The 25,431-nt window shown below is 35.9% G+C and overlaps 1 protein-coding gene across 52 annotated transcripts in view, besides 1 other annotated feature; it reads right to left on the bottom strand.

Annotated features, from left to right (window-relative positions):
- EHBP1 (EH domain binding protein 1) overlaps positions 1-25,431 on the bottom strand; it is a 372,610-nt gene that overhangs the window by 62,417 nt on the left and 284,762 nt on the right. For 35 of the 52 annotated variants that reach the window (XM_047443744.1, NM_001142615.3, XM_011532718.4 and 32 more), the window contains one exon: positions 4,736-4,883. In XM_047443744.1, the coding sequence (XP_047299700.1) occupies positions 4,736-4,883 (148 nt within the window). The remainder of the gene's footprint in view (positions 1-4,735; positions 4,884-25,431) is intronic. The other 17 variants (NM_001354215.1, XM_047443751.1, XM_047443758.1 and 14 more) reach the window with 1 other exon arrangement.
- Positions 16,277-17,351: an enhancer, noted in NCBI's record as "VISTA enhancer hs690". NCBI's record gives its function as "enhancer in: midbrain (mesencephalon)[7/11]" and the evidence as "EXISTENCE:transgenic organism evidence [ECO:0001131][PMID:17130149]".

Genomic DNA, 25,431 nt, shown 5'->3' with positions numbered 1-25,431 from the left:
TCAAACAAAAGATGGGAAACACAATACAGATATTATGTTATTAATAGAAGCTAAAAATAAAAATTATTGAAGACCTAAGATATTATTTCAGCTCAACAAATTTATTTTCCATAACTGAAATAATAAGGATCATGCAGACATTCTCATGGGCAAAATTTAAAAAAATTTCTTCATTCATCCAAAATGCAAAACAAAATATACTACTTTGTCTACATAAAAAGGAGGCAAAGGCCGGGCGCAGTGGCTCACGCCTGTAATCCCAGCATTTTGGGAGGCTAAGGCAGACGGATCACCTGAGGTCAGGAATTCCAGACCAGCCTGGCCAACATGGTGAAACCCCGTATCTACTAAAAATACAAAAATTAGCTGGGCATGGTGGCCGGGTGCCTGTAATTCCAGCTACTCGGGAGGCTGAAGCAGGAGAACTGCTAGAACCCGGGAGACGGAGGTTGCAGTGAGCTGAGATAGCGCCATTGCACTCCAGCTTGGGCAACAGAGTGAGACTCTGTCTCAAAAAATAAACAGAGGCAAAAATGTCAGTTTAAAGTTAAGCAAATCTAATCTAATCTAACTAAACCAAAGTGATAAGCTATGGAATAAATAATAACAAAATATGTATCATATATAATATACTTTATAATATATATACATGTGCTATATGACATGATATGTAATATCATCTTAAAACAAGGTAGTCACCTTCCTTGCAAATGTATCCATAGACCATTAACAAAAATTTAATACGTATTTGGCCAAAATAAAACATTAATAAATTCCCAAAGCAGAAATTTAGGCCCTATTCCCTGACCACAATACTACATAACTAAAACCAAAAATACTAAACTTTATCAACATCTGTACCTTGTCAGGAAAGATTCATACAACCCACATCGTTTGTTACATAGAATGAGGAATTTAAAATGAGGCCATCGCATGTCTACAATTACAAAATGATGCAAAAATGAAAAAAACATGTGTAATACACTACCTGGTTTTCTCATAAGCCCCACAAGTATGTCAAACAGAGGGTAAGTGAAAGCTAGGCTATGGCTGCTAGGAGAGGTGTGATTCTGTTATTTACACAAGAATTAGGCTATTTCTGGTTGCAATAGGATATAGGTCTCTTGATTGCCTGAATATACAGTTACAGGTGACCTAAAATACCTTGTATGTATTTTCTGTGGACACCATGAAGCTGAAGACACCTCACCTCAAATTTAGTAAGTTTCCTTTTCTCACCGAGGCTGGTTGCTGCTTGAGAACAGAAAAAGTAGGCTTTCGCAGGTGAGTTCAGGCAGTGGGTATGAGTGATGATCATGTTCAATACATTCCCCAGGCTGTGCATCCACCTTGTTATGTCAGCTCTTCACTACCCTCTTTTATCACTCTGGACTACTGCTTCGAAAATCTTCCTACCCTAGTTCTCCATCTAGGCTGGTCTCAAGTTATTTCTCTCTCTTCCTTTCACACTACTCCTTAGCAAAACTTTTTTCAGACCTGAGGATTCCTACTAGACCCTAGAAGAGTGGACACTAATTTGTTAATTCTTTCCCCTGACTTAACAACCTCATCAGGGTCATTTTTACTTAGAAAGTAGACTCTTGTGAACTCAAGTGAATTTTGAATTTGCTATGCAAGGGTGAGCAAACTACAGGCCAGGGGCAACATCCAGCCTACTGTCTTTTGAAGGTAAATAACAACCAGGCTCATTCATTCATATATTGTTCAAGACTGCAAAGGGAAGTTCAGGCTACCAAGGGCAGAACTGAGTAGCTGGGACAGACAGCACATGGCTTACAAAACCTACAGTGCTCTGGCCCTTTCCAGGATGTCTGCCAAATCCTGGCAAAGCACAATCGCTGGTACTGTTTGATAAATAAATGTATATGAATCATTGAATTTCAAGAGGAATTTTACCTTCTTCCTTGTCCTAAAGTTCTCTACACAACTCTCACTCTCAATAGCTAGGGCTTAGACCTTGAGGCCAGAGGAGACCTAGTCTATTCCGTATCCCTTTATGAAGACAGGCCAAGACCCACCACCGAGGACAGGAAATAGGCCTGCGTCATTTGTCTTAGGTCAACCTTAGTTCTCACAAACAGACTACCATTTGGTATGTAGCTGCTTCCAACATCCAAGATATGCTGTGTCCTATGGGGAAAATAGACCCTGGTCACTTTGGTCTCCTTCAGGAATAAGAAACCTGACTCCTCAGGAGGTTCTCATAAGTCATTTGTCAAACCCTGCCCCTTCTTCATTTCACCTGGCTTTCCTTGTTCTAGTCTCCATTTCCTTGCCAACTCTATAGATCCAGTCCTCACTTGTCCTTTGTTTACTTTATTTACTTTGACTGTTGAATGATGGCAAATTCAGATCTTTACTGTCCCTCATTACCAGGCAGCAACCACACTTTGGGTTGTAACACTGACAGTCTCCTTGCCTAGTCTAGTCCTGGCTTAGCCTCAAGTGTAGTTGGATTATAAAGATAGGACCAACTGTATAGCTGACACATCCCATATCATTAATAGGATTTTTAATCCTTAGCCTTCCCAGCACTTACAAGTCATTTAGCATTGTTATCTGCTCACTACTGGGAAAAACAAAAAATAGATACCAACTGCCCCTTCATCCTATTATTATTTGTTCTCCTACATGGCTTTATGATGCCACAGGAAGGTGGCATTAATAGCTTCAGGAAGCCTATCTGGAGCATAAGAATATGGTGTTTTTCCATGACTCAAAGATATAAGGAGGCAAAGATTTATTAAGATTTACTTAGAATATCTGGAAGATTTTTACGATAAAAGAAGCATCTAATTATTAATGATAAATGACAGCAAATTGTCATAGTATTACACAAATGTAGCTGTGCATAATTACTGATCTTACTATAAAGCTGTAGTAGAGAATGTAGAAATTGCAATAAAAATCCTGCATGATAGCTGCATGATAGGAGTCGAAAAGGGAAGATGAAGAATTCTTTTTTTTTTTTTTTTTTTTTGAGACAGCATCTCACTCTGTCACCCAGGCTGGAGGACAGTGGCATGATCAAGCTCACTGCAGCCTCAACTTCCTGAACTCAAGTGATCCTCCCGATTCAGCCTCTTGAGTAGGTGGGACTGCAGGTGTGTGCCACCATGTCTGGTTAATTAAAAAAAATTTTTTTTTTAGTGGGCGTGAGTTGGTTGAAGGCAATGATTTAAAAAAAAAAAAGACACGTGAAAAAAAATTAAAATATATATATATATATATTTGGTAGCAATAGGGTCCTGTGATGTTGCCCAGGCTGATCTCGAACTCCTGGGTTCAAGTGATCCTCCCACCTTGGCCTCCCAGAGTGTTGGGATTACAGGCGTGAGGCACTGTACCTGGCAAGATGGGTTTAACTAAGATACAGACATTCTGAGAAGACCAGAGGGACAGATACACAGCTGTGTGGGGAAGAAGCTTTCAAATTTATGAGATGGAAGATTAGATGTTATAAGCATTAGAATTTTCTACAGTAAGCTTTTAATATAAGGAAACAATAAGAAATAACAGCAATAAGTTTCAGTTTACTTTGAGGAAACTTATCATTGACCTAGAAATAGCTTACCTTTGTTTTGGCCCTCTTAGGCAGGGGTCCTCAAACCCAGGGCCATGGACCAGTACTAGTCTGTGGCCTATTAAGAACCTGGCCTAACAGGGCGAATGAGCATTACCTCCTGAGTTCGGCCTCCTGTCAGATCAGCAGCGGCATTAGATTCTCACAGGAGCACGAACCCTATTGTGAACTGCACATGTGAGGGATCTAGGTTACATGCTCCTTATGAGAATCTAACTAATGCCTGATGATCTGAGGTGAAACAGTTTTGTCCTGAAACTATCCCTCCTTACCCTCCTGGTCCGTGGAAAAACTGTCTTCCATAAAACCAGTTCCTGGTGCCAAAAACGTTGGGGATGGCTGCTCTAAGGTCTTATTCGAGTCTTCACTTGCCTACTCTTCAGAGTGATCTTTGCATTCTAAGATTAACTCAGGGCAAGTATCTGGCATGTTTTAGTAGATAAGTAGGTTATATACCTTTGAAATAAGAAGCTCACAAGCCTTGTGAATATACCTCTCTTAAAAATGTAAAATGTTCCAAAGATGTCCAAATTGAGCATCTCTGAAGTTAAAATTAAAATTTTCTTTAATTTTATATATATATAGCCCTTGTCCCAACATCAAGCTTAGATTAATCTCTGCAGATATTGAAGAAGACCCTCTCAGAGTGAGGAGACTAAGAAGAAACTGAGATGGGACTTATATAAACTTCTCACATCTCAGGCTATAATGCCAGAATATTGTTAAAGTTACTTTCTAAAGATCTTGTTTTAAGTGAAAATCTTTCATGACAAAGCTCATCACTAATTGTGCTGATTTAGATGTTAGGGATTCAATTACATTTTACATACTCCTAATACTATTAATGAGGAATCATGGGGTATCACAAACCAAGGTATGAGTTTTTTACAAAAGCATATTCTAAGAGAGTACTTCTTGAGTATTTTTAAATGAAGCCAAAAAGTTGATGTGGAAAGCAGCAACAGTTATCTTCTAATTTACTATGCTTCCTTTAGGTGTTTTGCAACATATCAATAGGTTAGAAGCTTTATATTTTTGAAGCAACATTTTGAAGTAAGAATAAAAAGTCCCAAAAGGTCCACTGTGGATTTCTGGGTTGTCTGTAGAATGATAGAAGATTCTTTAACTCACCTCCAGATGCCTTTGACCTTTCTTTCAACTTTTCTGCAGCCATTTCACCATAGCTGGGAAGTTCTGACATCTTCACTCCAGATCGAGCTTCTGCTATTAGCTGACGAGCTCTCTCTCTCAGCTGCCGACGTCGCTCTTCATCTTGCTGCTAAGATATATTGAACAGTTGCCAACTCAGTAATTGACAGAAATGCAATTTCATTTTCAATCTGATCATCATGATAGTAACTGGTTTACAGCATGGTGCTTGGCCCACATTATAAATAGGATGCTCTATATCAGTTGGATGTCACACCATTTTTAAAAGACATCTTAGAATCAGATTTTTAAAAACATTTACAAATTATTGTATTAAAATGTCCATTAAAAATACAAGTTAAAGAATGTTTGGTAATACATATTACTGAGAAAATATCAGAAATTATTATTAATAAAAGAATCCAGCTTACAGAAAAAAGTCACAATACTGAACAGAATTTTAATTCATGTTTTTTAAGAATATAATTTAACTTGCTATTTTTGAATAAAGGCACAGAGCAGTGGCTAAAAGACGTCTTTGATAGCAGAAAATGCTGGTATACTATGCTGATCAAATACTATATAGGAAATGGCATATTTAGGGGGCTAGAGTAAGAGTAGGGATAGTTTATCAGTACATAATTTGATTTAAAAACTATCAACAAGAATAATCCCATAGTGATGTGAAATTCTTTTTGGTAACTCCCCCTCTCCCCAAATGTATACTGAGAAGAAAAATTAAAATCTAATGTGGTTTCTGGTATTTAAAATAACAAGACAAATAAGAGAGTTGTTGACTACTAAAAAAAGGATTATTGGCTGGGCACGGTGGCTCACACCTGTAATCCCAGCACTTTGGGAGGCCAAAGCGGATGGATCACAAGGTCAAGAGATTGAGACCATCCTGGCCAACATGGTGAAACCTCGTCTCTACTAAAAATGCAAAAGAATTAGCTGGGCATGGTGGCACGTGCCTGTAGTCCCAGCTACTCGGGAAGCTGAGGCAGGAGAATCACTTGAACCCAGGAGGCGGAGGTTGCAGTGAGCTGAGATCACGCCACTGCACTCCAGCCTGGCGACAGAGCAACACTCTGTCTCACAAAAAAAAAAAAAAAAGGATTATTAATATTATGAATCGCAAATAATCAATGTGAAACTGCTTTGTAAATTGAAAAGCATATAAAATATGGCATTATTATGATAAAACAAAGACTGAAATAATCTGGCCCCAACATATCTTTGCAGGGTTATCTCCCCTTAACATCTCCGAACCTCCATAAATCTTCACATCTATTCATACAGAATTGTTTGTATCATGTAGCTTCATGTACTTGTGGCTCTGAGTGTGTCATTTCTTTTTCTTGGAATGAGCTTCTCTCACCTTATTTAATTTCTACTCATTCTTCCAGATTCAGTTTAAATCCACCAAACCTCCCCTGACTATCCCCCCAACCATTTCCCTATGAAATAAAGTAATCCTTCCTCTATGTTACTTCAGTACTTCATGTGTGTCTACGTGTATATGTTATTTTTTTAAACAATACTTGTCAATTTACATTATAACTTTGTAGGGATGCCTCCTTCACATTAGAGTTGAACTATAGCTGATTTACCTTTGTATCTCTGGTCTTTAGCACATAATTTGTGCTAGGTGCTGTAACCATTTCAAGCAGGAGAATATACTATATACTATTTATACTCTCAAAAAACTTATATAGAGAAAGAGAAAGTAACAATGTTAAGGCAGTATGATCAAAATAACATAAGGGTTCAGAAAAAAGAGAACATTTTTGGCTGAGGGGCAAACAGAATGTATCATACCATCATGGATTTCAAGTTGGGTCTGAAGAATGAGTAGGATTTGGAATGGGTAGAGATCGAAGTTGGTGGTTAGGTAGGTCAGTGCAAGAGAGACAAGGAGGTAGGAACAGTACAAAAACATAGAGACAAGAAAGTATACGGGGAAATATAACCTAGTTTTCCTGAACATAGGGCAAAAACAGTGACAGACAAGGCAAGAAAAATAAATTTGAGGAGATACTTTAAAGGCCCTGTCCAACAGGGAGAGGTGCTTTAATTTTATTCTAAAGACAGCAGGACCACTGCCGGGCTTTGTTTTTATGCATATGTCTTTTTTTTTTTTTAAGTCTAGGGGAATCATCAATTAGAGGTGTATTTGAGAAAGATTAATCAGGCAATGGTGCATAAAATAGACTGACATAGAAGGATGGCAATGGACTACTTAGGAGGCTCTTATAAGAGTCCAAGGAAACTGTAGTGAGATACAAAACTAAGACAGTGGCAATGGGAATAGAAAGAGAAAACTGTAATATATTAGAATTAGAGGCACCAATTCTTGGTAACATAATAGATGCAGAGGGAGGGAAAAAAAACTCAGAAATTTTAAACTTAGGCCACTAGTAGAACTGTGATGCTCATAATAGAAATAGAAAAACTAAAAGGAACTATAAGAAGGGAGGGAGAGAAAGTCTGTGCTAAGACATACTGGGTTTGAGAAGCTGGCAGGACATCTGAGTAGATGTTAGTAGGTAGTTGAGAAATAAAATGGATACTAGGATGTGAGGTCAGACTATGACTAGAGAGCTGATGAGTTATAGGAATCCATGAAAGCATTTGAAGAGGTACCCTAGAGAAAAAGGAGGGACACTGACTAAAACATGTAAAACATCTATCTATACGTACATAAGAGGAAAAGAGGACACAGAAAGGAGAAAATTAGAACACTGAAGTATCCAGAAAATCAAAGTAGAAGAGGCTTTCAAGAAAAAGGAGTATCAATTGCAGCCAAGTTAGAGGTTAATGAGTCTGAAAATTTTAAAAGGGCAATGAAACTTGGTGAGACATTGATGTATTTTAAACCACATTAAATAGTCTGTTGCCTTAAAAAACAAAACAAAACTTGGTGACATATCATTAGGGACAAGGGTAGAAACCAATGGGTAGAACTCAAGCCCAGGCAATTTTTTTTTCACAAATTTCTTGAGAAATCAAGTAAGCCATCAAAATTAATGGGGGTAGGTTAATGTGGATGTCCAATGGAGCCAGGGACGAGCTTGAAGCTCCCAGTAGAGAACCAATTAGAAGAACCCAGTAGAGAGACAATTTCACTTTCAAAAACAAAAATGACTGCAATGAATTGAATCAGTGAGGTCACACACTGAATCAAGGAAAATTCGAGTCCAATATGATATTCAAAACATAGAAGGATATAAAACTCATTTGTTACCATTTAAGGCAGCTTTTGAAATAACTCCTAAAAAGTAGTAATTAAAGGAAAAGAATTATTTTGTATTTCCAGTGGGAAATGAATTTTGGAGTAACAAAATATTCTCAGTCAATAACAGAAAGCTCTACTATATATGTGTGTGTGTGTGTGTGTGTGTGTGTGTGTGTGTGTGTGTGTGTGTGTACATACAGTAAACCCATCCAGGCTGAAATGCAGTGGTGCAATCACAGCTCACCGCAGCCTTGACCTCCCAGGCTCAAGCGATCCTCCCACCTCAGCCTCCTGAGTAGCTGGAACTACAGGCATGGTAGCTGTAGTTTAAAAAAAATTTTTTTTTCTTTTTAATTTTTGTAGAGACAGGGTCTCCCTGTGTTGCCCATGTTGGTCTCAAACTCCTAGGCTCAAGTCATCCTCCCACTGGGATTACAGGTTTGAGCCACCATGCCTGGCCTAGCTCTACTTTATAAAATATCATTTAATAATGCCCCTAAAAGGTAGAATTATAAAAAAAATCACTTTGCAAATCATAATGAATGATTCTGGCAAGGATCATCAACTGTAATTAAAGCTCTTAGGTAAATGTCCGATGGGGAACCAGATAGTCATGCTGCAGCCAACTGTATTTTCCAAAGATGGCCACAACAGTTATCGCTCATCCCACATGCTCTTCTGCAATGTGACCTTGCCATTCCCTCAATAAGAGGAAGAGTTTAATTCTTCTGAGCCAGCTTTAGTGACTTGTATGTAAGAAATAGAATGCAGAAGTGTTGCAGGTGATTTCCAAGGCTAGGTCAGAAAAGGCCATACCCTTTCTGCCTAAGCTGTCTTGAAATTCTTATATTCTGTCCTCTTTCTGGGAACCCAGCAGTCATATAGCGAGAGGACTAAGTTACATGTAGGTGCTTCAGTTGACCATTCTAGCCAAATTCAGCCTTCAGTCATTCTGGCATAGGTTCCAAGACATGTGAATGAAGAAGGCTTTAGATGACCTCAGACTCTCGCCATTTTGAGCCACCCCCAACTGTTAAAAGTCTTCCTAGCTGATGTCTCAGACAATGTGGAACAGAGACAAAGCATGCCCACTGTGCCCTGTCTGAACTCCTGACCTACAGAATTTGTAGAGCATAATAGCAAGACATTTTTTTTTTACGTCACTAAGTTTGGGGTGGCCTCTTACACAGCAATAATAACTGGAACATATGCTTAAGTAACACCACACAGACTACTTTTAGTTGCAAGGGGAAAACCTTATTTGTAAAAAGAGAGATAAGAACTAGATCAGAGATTAGGGACCACGAATCTAGCAGCATTAATGTTGGGTCAATCATACGCTATATGTTTTTTGATATGAAGCACATGAACTGCACACCACCTATAATATTCTACCAAAAATATTTAAAGTGAATCCACTCAACCTTTAGATATAATTTCCTGTTTATCATAAGCACAGGGGATAGAGAAGCATGACAAATGACACAGCAAGAAAACAACAAAATAGATCCAGAAGGTAGGATATCCTAGACAACTGACCTGGTAATTTTAATAAGTCAGAGTTAAGAAAACATATGCATAGAAAGAGATTTGGAAGGGTATACGCAAAGTTGTCATGGTGAAGATTTCTGGGTATCAAAATTTGATATTTTTATTTTCTTTTGACTCATTTTCTAATTTTCTATAATACACATGTACTACTCTTATAATCAACATTATTTTAAAAAACAATCTCGACTAGTCATGATGGCACATACCTATAATCCCTGCTACTCAGGAGGACTGCTTGGGTCCAGGAGTTCAAGACCAGCCTGAGCAACTGGGCTACATAGCAAGACCCTGCCTCAAAAAAGCAAAGCAATGTGATGGTATGCTTCCTGAAGTGTATATTGTGGTAGGGGCAAAAGAAGAGAGGTCTAACATTCAAGTGAAATTTTATTAGTATCTGGAGACACAAGCTTATTCATAGGTGAGGAATAGTATGCAATAGGCATAGTGAGAGTGAAGATGCAAGAAAATCATAAAAAAATCCTGTTTACTATCAGTATTTCTTTTTTTCTTTTTTAAATCTGAGACAGGATCTCACTCTGTTACCTGGGCTGGAGTGCAATGGTGCAATCATAGCTAACCGCAACCGTGACCTCCCCAGGCTCAGGTGATTCTCCTACCTCAGCCCTGCCACCACCCCGAGTAGCTGGGACCACAGGTGTGTGCCACCATGCCTGGCTAATTTTTGTAATTTTGGAGAGATGGGGTTTCGTCATGTTGCCCAGGCTGGTCTCAAACTCATGGGCTCCAGTGATCCACGCACCTTGGCCTCCCAAAGTGTAGGGATTACAGGCATGAGCCACCACATCTGGACCACTATCAGTGTTTCTAAACTTAAAAAATATGCTAGGAATAAAAGAAATTACAGGATTGATAATGGTGAGTTTGATGATGGCTGCTGCTATCTCCTGAGCATTTATGTGCTATGTGCTTTATGTGCATAATATTTAATTTTCACATCTTTATTTTTACCAGTAAGAATACTTAAGTTTAGAGTCACAACATTCCACAGCTAGACCTGATGTCAGAGCCAGGTGTTCAGCTCAGGTCTGTTTCACTCCAGAGCCCTTGCTCTTAACCACTAAACTATATGATTCCCAAAGTATCAAATTATATGATCAAATGAGGAAAATGGAACTTTTACTAAACTTTCATCTTCCAAACTTAAGAAAAGTTAAGAGTACTAACAAAAACCATTATTTAATATGCCTCAGGCAACTAAGTTTAAGTGTATTTCACTGAGTGAATAATAACTTCTTACATAGCTGGAATTTGGTGATTCAAACTAAAATGAAGGGTCATTTTTACTGAGTTAAGATGAAATAAATGATTCTAGTTTTCTGAATATGAAATGGCAACCTAATTTTTTTCTTGCAAGCTATCACCTCCTCTACCCCCCATAATACTCCCATCTGCAAATTTTTCTGAGAGCTTACCAAGAGTGCAATTTAAAGTAGTCAATCCTTAATAAAACCAACTCTAAATACTAATTAGGAACTTTATCAATTTCCATGTAAATTGTTTGTTTGTACTTATTTACTCATCATTGTTCTCTACACAATAGAAAAAAATGCAAATGAACAAATCAGAATGTAGCCCTAATGGGACTTTCTGTTTATAACCATTAGCCCAGAGGTGTGCTGTAATTCAATTCTCAAGTAGCAAGATTTAGCCTCATTAACAGACTGCAAGGGCAGGTTACAACTCATAAAACCCTACAGTAAACAAAGTTTATGGACACAGCACAAAATCTTGAGCCTGATTGACAGAATTCTAGTTCCCTATCAGATTGCCTTAATTTACTTTTCTACTAATGTCCTAACACCACAGAGACAATTTTGCTTGGGCCTGAAGCTCTCCAGTGGGATGGCATATCTGTGTTGTTTGTTTTCTCACCCTTTAACTTCCCTTAAGACAAAAAACCAACTGAGAAAATAAAAGTTAATTGTTAAGGTCATGAAGGAAAAGCTTGTAATTATAGTAATTGATTATGCCATCAATTTTAGTTTGATAGCACTAATTTTCAGTTTATTAGTCTCCAGGTTCATCATAAGTAAAACTAGTTCATTTTAATTTTTATATGTAGGCTCCATTAAAAGACTTTTTTGCAATAATATTGAAAGAATAGATAGCAATAAAATCTATGCATTTTTTCTTTTTTACTCAAAATAGCCACACTGTTTATGTCTAAGGATAAAATGACTAGAGAGTAGGGACAATGATTATCTTATTATTTCTGTATAGCGTTCAGCACAAACTGCTCAAATACGTTCATAATATTTCTGACAATGAGTTTGCCTAAACCTAAGAAATGTGGTTTTGGTATCTGCTTTGACCATTCCTCTTTCAAAAAAAGACAGTGGCTCATAGCTGTAAGTAAATCATGTTTACCATGTGTGCTGGGAAAAAAAATCTTTTCACTGGGTTGCAGAGGTAAGGCAACTTAGAAAACTGCTGTTACTTAAAAGATAAGTATACTTCAAAAATCCAATACATAGGAAACCCCTATGTCTTTCATTTACTTATGTAGTCTAGATAGACTTAAATAAATTGAAGTAGTTAGACTTCCTGTTTCTGAGAAAGGGTCTGATGACATTCACCTTTTCCTATATGGTATTATTTAGAGTTAGACTGAGTTATAAAGGATAGTCTTGCTTTTGTAAGATAGATGTGTACTCTTTGGAGGGTTTCATAGAAGCCGTAGTTTTGGGAGGTCTCCCTCCCTATGACTATCTTTTTACAATTTGTAACAAATTTTTGAGTAAATACTAGTTCTGTGCCCTGTGTGCTCACACATGTATATGTGTTGTCTCATTTACTCCTTACAACTCTGAGATAGCTGCTATCATTCCAATTTGACAAAAACTGAATCTCACTTAAATATACCGCCCAAGGTCATATATCTTGTAAATGGCATAGTAAGAATTAAAATCAGTGTCTGTTTGATATCAAAGCACTGGCCCTATCTATTACATAACTGCTATTCAGAGCATTTTCTGAGGCCCTACAGTGATTACGATTTTTTAAAGTCCCAGTTCTTTATGTATACTTGGGCTATACAAATCAGTTTACATTTCCCTTTGTGTCAATGAATACAGAGAGATGATGAGCAACTAATTTGTTTACATTCACTTAAAACTTACGTTCCCAGCAACTAATTTGTTTACATTCACTTAAAACTTACGTTCCCAACCTTAAATTATAAGCCTTTAGAAAAGTGATAAATGTATTTAAGCTTTGCTTTTCTCTTTGCTAACATCTTCAGGATAAGGCAAAAGTCCTGTTATGGTGCAAAAAGAGCCCTGTTTCAATCCAATGGATTTGAAATATTCAAATAAAGATGGATCAGAACTAACCACTTTGGACACAAACTTAAATAATATTTAGCCCTTTCACAGCATGTCTTCAAGTTACTATTTTCCTTATCATTCTGAAATGGTCTACAATCTGCCATAGATAGATGCACTAGTAAAACTTGACAATTTAAGGACAAACTCTTCAAGAATAAGTAATGTAATTCCTTGTTTCCTTTCCATAAAAATGTATTGGTATGCAATTTTTATATTTCACAGTTCACCGACATCTAGGCAAGCTTTCTTCCACTGCTTCAATGGTGCTACTTTTAATTTTATCCTCCTTAGTCGTAGTAATTAAAGTGATCAGCAGTGGCATCCCAGCGGCTTTGACACAGCTACAACCCCCTAGCAGACTTTTGCTTTTGAGGGGAAGGGGAAGAAAAAGGCTGGAGTTTCATTTCACAGAGAACAAGAAAATCAAGCTTCTCCAATCCCCAACTTTATTCAATTGTTCTTTCAGCAGCCTTTGGATCTTAAGAATCAAATAAAAATGGCTGCCATGGGGGGTCCTTTTTACACTTGCCGCAAATGTCACCAACTGACATTACTTTAGCCAAAAAATGATGCCATGGATTTGTGAAGGTGAATTAGAACATGAGAAACTGTCAGTGTAGCTGCTGAGATCATTAAGAAACATGTCTACACACATTTTCATGAAATAAGCCTTAACAAAACTTTAAAAACATATTATTTCAAACAATGTAGTTTGTATCCATACTCTTCGTAAAATTGTGTTTATAACATAAAAAAGCACTCTGTTTCTACCAAAAAAAACCCACATTTCATCTTTTACCTCCCTCAAGAACATCCTGTGCTTATTTGTTTTGTCTTCGGTGTTTCATACAGCCTTAGTAATTGAACTTTAATTAATTGAGCTAAATAAATTTTAACCTATCTAAATTTTTTTAAAAAAAGTTTTACTTAGAGCTGCTAATATTTAACAGTGTTCTGTTCTCAAAATGGTCCATGAAATTCCTCAATTTTGTAGTAAACTGAAAGAACTTGACTGTCACCCTTTCATCATTAGACAGGGAGCAAGACTCTGTTATTAGGCATTCAGAATGGACCGAAAAAAAAAAAAAAAGAATTCTGTGTTTGTCCAGAGGCAAGGATTACCAAAGTGTGCCCACTCACTTACTATGAAAGATAGAATTAAATAAAAAATAAAATTACAAGATTTTAGAAGGTTTAGGTAGACTAGATATTTTACTGCCAGCTTGATCAGCTCCTGACTGAATAAATAGGATTTAGGGTGAAACATTAAAACTGTTTAGCAGATCTTTTCAACCCATTTCAAACTTTTCTTATGCTGGTTTGTAATATAAGCAGACATGCTTATAAATGGCCACACCTGCTCATTTCTCTGGGGATGGCCTGATCTCTGCTTCTCTAACAAAGAAAGAAAGAAAGAAAAAAATCAGCCTTTCTTGTTGCAAAACAGAGTGGAAAGTCAAAATCTTTCTCAAGTTTGCCCCATCTGGTCAGATTAAATCTTTGATCAACCCTGGGGATTACATTTATTTTTGTGGTAACTACTAAATTTTGGATTTGTTTAAGATACATAGGAAAAATAGTAAACAGAATATGAACTTAAATTTGAGATAGTTTTTAATATATGAGTAGAAAATATAAAAGGACTAATTCAGAAAAAATAGACACATTTTAAGAATTTAGATTTCATCTAACGTATTTAATTCATGAAAATGAATATATCATACTCTAGTTTTTAAAATATATCTCTTTGTTTCAAGATACAGCAAGTATTCTTTTTAATTGTAGCATTTGTTTTGCAGTGTTATACCATGCTATACAAATAAAGAATCCTAAACAAAAGAATACATGAGATCAAGTTAATGTTGCTAAATGAGGCTTTCCTTTAAGCATTCTGGGATAGAAAGTTTTATATTCTAAATAAATAATCATTTTCTTTCATTCATTTACTTAATACATATGAATTCCTAGTAGGTACTATATTTCTCCAAAAATAATTATTTTAAGATTATAAAAGCAATTATTTTGTGTTTCTGAAAACTTCAATTTGCATTAGTAGAACTAACAGAAATAGTTTGAGCCTCCAAAAAAAGGACCCTTTGATAATTTAATTCCTCTTTTCTTTGTGAAATTGATAACTTCTTAGTTTAAAAAAATTATAAGAATAAAAGAAGAATGGCTGACTAAGTAAGTATCACCTTGTGTTACATCCAAGGCCTCTTGCTGGTTGTCTGGCTGCTCTTTTGTAGGCAAAAAGGAGCTGAACGCTCTCTGGCTCCTTAGATCTGGCCCAACAAATGCACTGCCAGTCATGCACATGGATCTAGCTTAAAACCCAGTGTGAGCCTAAAAGAAGCCAGTCAGACTGGCACCTACTCATGCAGAAGGAGATAGATTTGTCATGACAGGCTGATTATTCAATGTAAAGAAACAGTTTAGCTTTTCTAATCTGGTACAAATACATCTTTCTCAGCAAAAAAGTAGAAGGTCTAACAGTTCAAGTATTTAAAGTAAAGAAACCAACAACAAAAAAATGTAACGTCAAAGTAAACCATAGGTATTTGTGTTAAAGTGTTCTGCAAAACTGTCCTGCAGTTCCATTCAGATAAATAAGACTTAACCCTTCAAAAGTATGACATCTATGTATCATATTAAAAAAAATTACTGTTTTATATTGTGATATTTTTCACTAGAAAAACCTCTAAGAATCCAAGTTCATCTTCTCTCTTGTCTCTCTCTGTATGTGTATATACAGATATATATGTGCTTATGTAACTTCTTACTTCGTTTCCTGTTCAGGTACTGAAATGACATACTCTATTGGTATTTGGTATACATGATTCTACAAGTTGTCTCTTAATAAAGCCACCCAAAGAACCCTTTATGATGAATTTAACACTCCACCAACACTGGCTTTTGTTCTAAAGTGTTAATGATCTTCCTAATCTTTGTAACTTCTATGTAAGTCATAGTTCTATGCTAGTAGTATTACTTATAAACTATTTATTTATGAACTCCTTTGGATTGTACTCAGAATAAGACCCAAAAAAACTGCTGACAGTTAATATCAGTTTGACAACAGTGATGGGGTGGGCAGAGCTCAGAAATACCTTAGTGTTTAAAGAAAACACACTGTATCCATTACGATCAGTACTTTTGCTCAAAATACGATGTATCCTATATCTCTCAAAAGCTATACTATAAAGAGTGCTCAAAACAGCTTATTCATCTGTAGCAGCTAAGTTTCACAGTGCTTCACTTAAGGGCTTTTCTCCTGCGTAAACTTGACATTTGAGATGAAAAAAAAAAGAAGTAATATTATAAAACAAAGATTTTTGGCAAGCCGACCAGATGTATATGCAACATAGGAAGAAGTGTTCTTTACCTTGCCAGATTAGAGATTCAGGAAAGTTCTATTCTTAGTTAACTATGTTTTGGAATTTTTCCTCTCCTACAAAGAAAATACCTATACATTGTCTTTTCATCATTTTATATTTCTGAAACAATACAGAGAACCACATTCCTGAGATGTACTTGAAAGATTTTCCTCCTCTCAATTTTACTGGAAAAATCCCGTAAGATACAAGTGATCAAAATGTAAAGCACAAGTGAAAACCACATCCTTTTCCATGTCCTTTTTAAAAAGAAAAAAATGTCCTGCAAACTGTTGGCAGCTTGTTTTTAATGGAAAATACCAATCGTCTAGGATCTATACCTAGCCTTTTGCCAATAATGAGAAAACTTCACCTTCTGTCCCTAGCAATTCTTAGGAAATCTTTTGCTGTTATTCCTACAAATCCAATTACAGATTGTTGAGTAGCTAGTGGAGTAAGCTTATTGAGAAGTGTCACATCACTAAGTCGTGCGTATGTGTTTCAGTTTGTAATGTGGTCTGAGCCGCTGTAGAGGTGTCAACTTAAAATGCAAGTAAGTAGCAGAACAGGGCTAATCCCAGCCACTACTCCCCTGCAGCCAAATTGTAGCGCAATGAATGACAGTGGAAATGCAAAGATGCCACTGTGCTTATCACACACAGCCAGATGGCGGACCTGGATCAATGCACACATGCCACGATCAATGCATTTGATAAAGAATTAAGAAGAAAACTGTACATGTTATCAAAGAACTTGTACATGGCATAATTATGATTCTGCATGTGCTTACTGATGATATTGGAGACTCAGAGGCAGGTGATAATGAAACTGATAGGAAGAAATAGCTTAAAGGCTACAGCATATGGCCTCAGCACTAAGAAATCTTGTCAAATAGTTCAGAAAGCTTTTAAAAACTGTTATTACAGGCTGCTCCTAGTGCAGGCTAGTGGTGATGTTTTAAATTTCTTTTAAAAATTTGAAATGTCAAAAGTTAGGGAGCACACTATACTTTTTATAATAACTGTTTAATTAGGATATTATATCATTTAAATTTAATTAGGAGATTGTATCCTTTAAAAATGCTGGGAAATGATAGTTCCTATTAAAATAGAAAAGAATCAAATGTATCTTATAAAAGAATATTTTATGTACACTAAATTTTTAATATTATGAAAATAAGTGCCTGAATTTTCATGCCAAAGCAGAAATTTAAAATTTACTGATTTTCAAATACAAACTTTAATGACACAAATAATACATAACTCTCTTTCAGTTACACTTCTACTGCACAGCAACCACTGTCATGCCAGAGACCAATTAAAGCACTCGGGAAAAGGTATAAAGTAATGGAGATGCATATACATTTAAAATGTATAAAAGGTACCCCAAACACAAATTCTCATGCTTCAGTTGATAGATGAGCTGTCTAATCAACAGCCTTGATGTAACTTAAGTGCTCTCATTAGTGCTAAGACCTTCAGGCTAAATAGGGCTAAATCCTTTAAAAATTGCTTCTGAAATAGGGGGAAAAAATCTAACTATTCCCTTTCCTCAAATTATAAAACTCCCCCCTCTAAGAGGTATTTTCAGATAACTTCCTTTTAATCTAAGCATGGAAAACAAATACAGTACTCTGATGCAACTGAAATACTTCAAGACAAAGTTCTATTATCAAAACAGTGAAGTGACAAGAAAAATAAAAGAATCAGACTCTAAGTTAATTTGTTCAACTGAAAAGCTTGGCTGTATATTTAGTATTGTGGTATATGAATATCACTGATTTAAAACTTTTAACTTGTTCTTGGCTTGTTTGTATTTGTAAACTTTAAATATTCCATTTCAAAATTATAATCTAAGCTTCTTAACAAAATCTAGTTGTAAAAAGACACTGTATTTTCCCTCATTTTGGAGGAAATAGGGAAAGAGAGCCAGGAAGGAGAAAAGCAAAAAATCAGAATATCAATTTGTACTGACAAATCATTTGGTACTAAATTCTAAAGACACGTAGAGTGCATAAAGAACTGATGGCTTGATTAGCTCTTGTGGCACAACTGAAGGAGCTGTCTCACAGATTCTTGGTTTGGAGAAACACTTTGATCTTTGTTCAAGTCAATTCATGAACATCAACTGACAAGACTGCATGAAACACCCTGATGGTTAGGTCCAAACTCCAAGCAAACTATTTAGTTTCATTAAGGGCTTCCAGAAAAGGTGACCAAGACAATCCTTTCAGAAGGCAACATGCAAGTGACTCTTTAAATTCTAATGTGCACAATGTATGACCAAGGGCTAACACACATATAAGCAATCAGTCAAGTATGGGAATATCTACTTTGTGACAAAAAGGAAAGCCACATTTCAATTTCACTCTCATTAAGGCATTGTAAGATTCTTATACAGTATCAAAACTCTACGTCATTAATATCTCACAGGCAGAATAGTTTAAAATAGCACTAAAATAGTCGTGCATATTTCTTAATGAAGAGAGAGGAAAATAAACTTGCTAAACATTTCACAAAATAGAGTAAGATGTTAAGAAATTAATTAGAGGGCTTTCTTTTCTATAGTTAATTTTTTAATTGCAGTTTAACCCCCTTTTAGAAAGGGGATTGTTTCAAAGGGCTCATTTTTGCACCCACCCTGTCAAAGAAGGTCAGAAACACTCAAGTATAAAGTCACTGCACTACTGTGGCACAAACAGTTTCTGCGGCTAAAATCAAACAAAGACCAATTAAACTAATCATAACGTTCCAGTGAACACAAGGAAGCTCACCTGGTATTTCTGGACTTCTTTCGTGAATTTTCAAATCTACTCAGTTCGTGGTATTATAATTACCTTGACCAAAATACTGTGAAATTACTGCTCTGATCTACTAATGGCTGAAAAAATCAAGTCGTTGTGGTTTCATGCCAAGGGGCCATAGCAAGGTGGCGCAATGATTTCTGACACAGAAGACAACTTCTAAAAACTCGAAAGGGAAAATTAACGGGATGTGGTTTACATTGCCAAGGACTGTTCATTAATTACCAATTTAATCACTGCTGGAGGCATGACATTACAAAAATCTGGCTGAAAGTTCTAATAGATTATGAAGACCACCTAAGAAGAGTGACCAAGAAATGTACAAAACAATTAATACTGTTTCACTGCTATCAAAGACACTCAGATTATTTTACATCAAGTGAAGCAAAGGAATTAGTAGCTTCACAGTGCCACCAATAGGAACTGTAAATACAATAGCACACAATTAGTAATGCACATGTGACTTTTCGTTCAAGGCATATATCCTTGGGAAAGCAGAATATGATAAGAAGAACAAAAGAAACATTAAAAAATGAAATGAATAAAGATTTAAACTCTTGTGCATGCTGAGCAATAACAAAATAGGCAATATAAAATACAGCTTTAGTAATGGTGATATTCATCCTGGGATGTTCAACACGGCACTGAACAGCCATATGGAAAATGTCCACAGCCATTATTACTTGCATAAAAGGAGTGTTTCTGATGCTAAGACACCTAGCCCTAGCTTCATGCATTCATGGCAACCTCAAATAAGACTTTTGAGGCTAGGGGTTCGTGGCCACATAATAGAAAAGATGCTTGAGGTTTTTTTTTCCTCCACAACAATGCTGGTATTTTGTTTGACTTTGAAGATATGCTAGCAAGCTAACAGTATGTTTTCTAAGAAGTCTAGTAACTATTGTTAGGATAGCAGACTTGAAATCAACTTACATTTAGACATAATAGATAAACTATTATTTAAAATAATACGGAATAAAAACCGCTGCTTTGTATAGAGCTATTTATGCTGAACATAGAAGTACGCCAGCATTCTTCTCCTCTAAAACGCAACTATAAAAAGATCAGCTCTACACTCAAAGTGTCTCACTGGTCTGAAATGGATTTTGTACATTAAATCTTTTGGTGATTGTGTTGAAGTAAAAAGTAAGGATGTATTTTCATTTCAGTGCCCTGGGCATAGACATTCCAGCTCATAGGAGAATAAAAATTCCTAAATAAAATCTGTATGTTATTAAAGGTTTTAGATTTTTTAACTAAAAACTCACTCTATATGTTATTAAAGGTCTTAGATTTTTTAATAAGTGATAATTGATGTCCTTTCACACAAAATTACAAATGTAAAGTTAACGTACTTCTTCCTAACAGTAGAATTGATAATATGTGTAATTAGGAAAAATACGAAATTTTAACTTGAACTTAATTTTAAAGCTTTGATTCCTAAGAAGCTATCTATTTAACTAACACAGCCAATATTCATAAATATGTAAGTATAATCTCATACATATTTTTATGATGATATATACTTAGAACACATATATATGAAAACTACGGAAAAGGTTACTATTAGAGATTATCAAAAAAAGTTTAGTGTTTTTTACCAATTGAATGGTAAATGCTTCTTTTATTATTTGGAGAAGATCTAGTGATCTTATCTAAATCTGCTACAATTATCGGCATGACAGACTAGTGCCATTTAAATCAATAATTTCCAATCAACATCAAAAGTACGCGGTTGATGTCTCACCCTTCATGGCAATAAAATACCCGTCAAAGGTTTAATTTGCAAAAGAGCAACTTGCATTCTCTTAGTTCTCTTAAGCCATTTGGATTCACTTCCAAAGGCGAGCTTAAAAAAAGTCACTGTGTGGTTACTGGTCTTAGCAGTTAACTAAGAGCTGACCAAACTAAAATCCTTTCCCACGTATACTGTTTTCTCTAGAGGATTCAAACGTTCCTTCAGGTCTTTAAAGATGGATACTGCAAACCTTCCAGGACTTGCTGCTAACCTGCAGTTTCATCCTGCTACCTGTTATGTGAGAAAAGGCTCCTAAACCAGTTGAGTGTAATGGATGGGCCATTATGCTAACAGATTAAATGTTAGGAGAAAAACTTCAAGTCTGTTTTATAATAGCATTGTAATTACTTCCTGATAGTTCTTTCTAAAACGCATCCAGATACCTAACAACTATCTGCAAACCATACTCTTATGCTACGTAATTACTGCTTAAACAAAACAAAAACAAACATATTTATAAATTCACTGATCATTATGATTAGACTAATTAGACTGAAGTTTCATCCTGATTCTCTTTTTAGATTTGTTTAGATTTTCCACTTATAAAATAGATTTTATTCTGTTAAAAAAGTTATAATTAAACATATATAGCATCATTCTTCTGATATGTTCAAAATGCTTCACTAATATGCTAACAAAAATTCCAAGGACTGTGGGTAGCAGGACTATCATCCTTTATTTTGCTTAGAGTGTATGAATTCTAAACTTAAGCACATCAAATGCAAACATCCCTTTCAGATACCTATACAAGTATATAAGTATCATTAAATGTAATGGTGGGCTTATTAAATGCATTTTTTAAAAAGCAATTATATTCCAATGCAAAATAATTAGCAAAAGCATCTGAAACAGATTAGCTTTTATTTTTTATTTTTATTTTATTATTTTTTGAGATGGAGTCCGTTGCCCAGGGTAGAGTGCAGTGGCACAATCTTGGCTCACTGCAACCTCTGCCTCCTGGGTTCAAGCGATTCCTGTGCCTCAGCCTCCCGAGTAGCTGGGACTAGAGGCGTGAGCCACCGTGCCTGGGTAATTTTTTGTATTTTTGGTAGAGATGGGGTTTCGCCATGTTAGCCAGGCTAGTCTCGAACTCCTGAACTCAAGTTATCTGCTCACCTTGGCCTCCCAAAGCATTGGGATTACAGGCGTGGGCCACCACACCCAGTCTATTTTTATTTTTTTGAGACAGAGTCTTGCTCTGTTGCCCAGGCTGGAGTGTAGTGGCGCAATCTCCACTCATTGCAACGTTCGCCTCCCGAGTTCAAGCAATTCTCCTGCCTCAGCCTCCTGAGTAGCTGGGACTATAGGCGGTGCTGTCATGCCTGACTAATTTTTCTGTTTTTAGCAGAGATGGGTTTCACCATGTTGGTCACGCTGGTCCTGACCTCAGGTGATCTGCCTGCCTCAGCCTCCCAAAGTGCTGGGATTACAGGCCAGATTAGCTTTTTAAAATTCTATTTGTACATATCTGGATGAAAAGTGTATGGGGAAATGGAGTAATAAAGAAAAATAATAAAAAAAGAAATATTTTCTTGAAAAAATTACATTTTCTTCAAGTCTGTGCTTATATATTACATGATCAAGACGTCTCCTTTGAATTACATACTGGGTGGACTGCTGAAGCTACCAAACTCCTGAGTTGTACTTAAAAAAATCATTTAAAGCACATGTGGAAAAAAATGAAAAACACAAATATCACACCTAAAACTTACATTAGTAAAATTCAACCTTTGAAAATCTTCATAGAACAAAAGGAACAGGAAGAAAAGAAACATAAAATACAGACCCAGAGCAATGAAATCTGTCTCCCATAGACATAATTTCAGGGAGCAAATGAAACAGGTTAAAGGAGTTTCTAAAGGCACAAAGGTATGAATGAAGCATATAAATGACTTTCATGAAAAAAGACTTGAAAGGCAATAAGTAGTTTTACCAAGTATTCACTAAAATATGCAATGGTAGTCCTGCCAAAAATTTAGAAAAATTAAAAGGTTTATGGTATCTGTGTTTGTGAGTTGTCCTTTAAGGGAAATTACAGCTTATATCTTTCCTGAGGATAACTTAAGTGGAGTCTGTACGTAAGGGTCCACCCAATAAGAATATCGAGAGTTGTTTTCAGTGTCTTAGAAACAGCTTTCCAGGCTAGCAGCCTAAAGCTATACTCATTTTGGAAGGGAATGTTTTGTAGTGTTGTGATTCAAGGCAGAACTGAAAGCTGAACTCTAATCAGAGTCCCAGGATATGGGAAAAGCTGGTGTGTGTAAGGATTTGGCATACACACATCATAACAACAAAGAAAGGTATCATAATGTACGATTCGAGAATAGCAAGGAAAGAATGATATAAGCTTAAGTACCCAAGTGGCAAAAGTAATCTTATCTGTAACTGACTTCAGACAAGGGAACACTAACTTCCTCTGCTCAATTCTGCTTTAAACAACTTCAGAGAAACATTTATTTTTCCTGTTTACAAACCTACTAAGAACCTCCTTATAGCAAAGTTTTCATGTTTAAGCTAATTTTTTATTAGGTGACACTCAGAGGATATGAAAAATAGCCTGTCACTATTCCCTTCATTTATTCATTCAATGAACATTTACCAAATACTACTACTTGGTGCTGGGGATACAAGGTCCTTGTACTTTGAAATAGTTCACAGTTGAATGAGAGGAAGAGATTTGTAATTAGATAATTATATTGGGATGAATGCATGCTACGGTAGAGAATAACAGCAAAAGATATAGGAAAGAGAATTAACTTCACTGCAAGGAGCCATGAGGACAGTGTTTATAGAAGTGCTATTTCACTAGAAACTAATAAGGGAAGATGGGTATTTCAAGGCAACAACAGCAAATGCTTGACACAAGAATGAAAGAGTATGGCACATTTTAGATACAGTAAGCAACTTATAACTGGACTGTAGAATGAAAAAAATGAGAGAGGTAAGAAATGAGGCTGTAAAGGGAGGGGACAGGATTTGCAAGGACATGAGGCCATGCTGAGTAGTTGGGAAGTTTATTCTCTTAGGTAAGTGGGGTTACCAGATGGATTTTGAGGCTTCATATATTCAAATGATCACTTAAGCTATTTCCCAGTTATCTCTTCTTTACATTTTATAAGGCTTTATTTCTTACAAGTAGACCTTTCCTTTCAATCCTTTAACCCTTTTCTGAATCCCCTGTAAATTCTCACTTTCTCTCACCCAGAACTAAATACAAAAGTCTCACAAGTAGCTAACTGTACTGAGTACATGGACATTGTCCCATGCACTACATGCTTCTATTTAAGTACTACAACAGCAATTATTAAAATAGCTCTTCTCATTATTTTTGGTATTCATCAGAAGGACTTAAGTTTACTTGTACAGAAATAAAGTACAGAGGAATAAAATAAAGAAACTGCTAAAGTAAACCAGTGGTCCTTTAAGTAATAAATAAGAACTCCTATAACTCATTAGCCACCCCTCACCAAAACAAACTGTTAACCCGATTAAAAAGTGGGCTAAGAACTTGAATAGACATTTCTTCAAAGAAGACATACAAATGGACAACAGGTACAGGTACATGAAAAGATGTTCAATGTCACTAGTCATCAGGAAAGTGCAAATCAAGATCACAATGAGATGTCACTCCATGCTTGTTCAATGGCTATTATTTAAAAAACTAAAGTAGCAAGTGTTGGTGAGAATGTGGAGAAAGTGGAATCTTTGCACACTGTTGGTGGTAATATAAAATAGTGCAACTGTTATGGAAAAACAATATGAAGGTGCCTCAAAAAATTAAAAACAGAACTACCATATGATCCAGCAATCCCACTTCGGGGTACTTATCAGAAAAAGCTGAAATCAAGATCTTGAAGAGATTTTAGCACTCCTATGTTCACTGCAGCATTATTCACAATAGCCAAGATGTGAAAACCACCTAAATGTCTATTGACAGATGAACGGATAAAATGAATGTGGTACATATACAGTGGAATACCATTCAGCTTTAAAAAAGCAGAAAGTCCTGTCACATTCTACAACATAGATGAGCCTTGATGACATTATGCTAAGTGAAATAAGCCAGTTATAGAAAGACAAATACTGCGCGATTCCACTTATATGAAGCATCTAAAATAGTCGGATTCATGGAATCAAAGAGCGAAACAGTGGTAGACAGGGACTGGAGGGAGGGAGAAATGGGCAGTTACTAATCTACAGGAATAAAGTTTCATTTGAGCAACATGAATAAGTAATGCAGACCTGCAATAAAACATTGTATCCACTCAAATTTTTTAAAAAAGAGTAGCTCTCATGTTAACTGTTCTTACCACAATAAAATGTTTAAAAAATTGAGTCTTCTAATCTATGAACATAATATGCCCTTCCATTTATTTACTCTTTTATATCTTTCAGAATGTTTTAGTTTTCTGCCTAAAGGTCTACATATTTCTTGTTAGCTTTATTCTTAGCATACTACGTATTTTTAATGTTCTTGTAAATATTTTAAAACTTTTGCTTGTAATAATTTAAAAAGATAAAGATGTAATTTACATCTAGTAATATGCACCCATTTTAAATTTGATGTTTT

Source organism: Homo sapiens, chromosome 2 (assembly GCF_000001405.40).
Source record: "Homo sapiens chromosome 2, GRCh38.p14 Primary Assembly".
Taxonomy (NCBI): Eukaryota; Metazoa; Chordata; class Mammalia; order Primates; family Hominidae; genus Homo; species Homo sapiens.
This window is presented reverse-complemented; position numbering and strand designations above follow the sequence as displayed.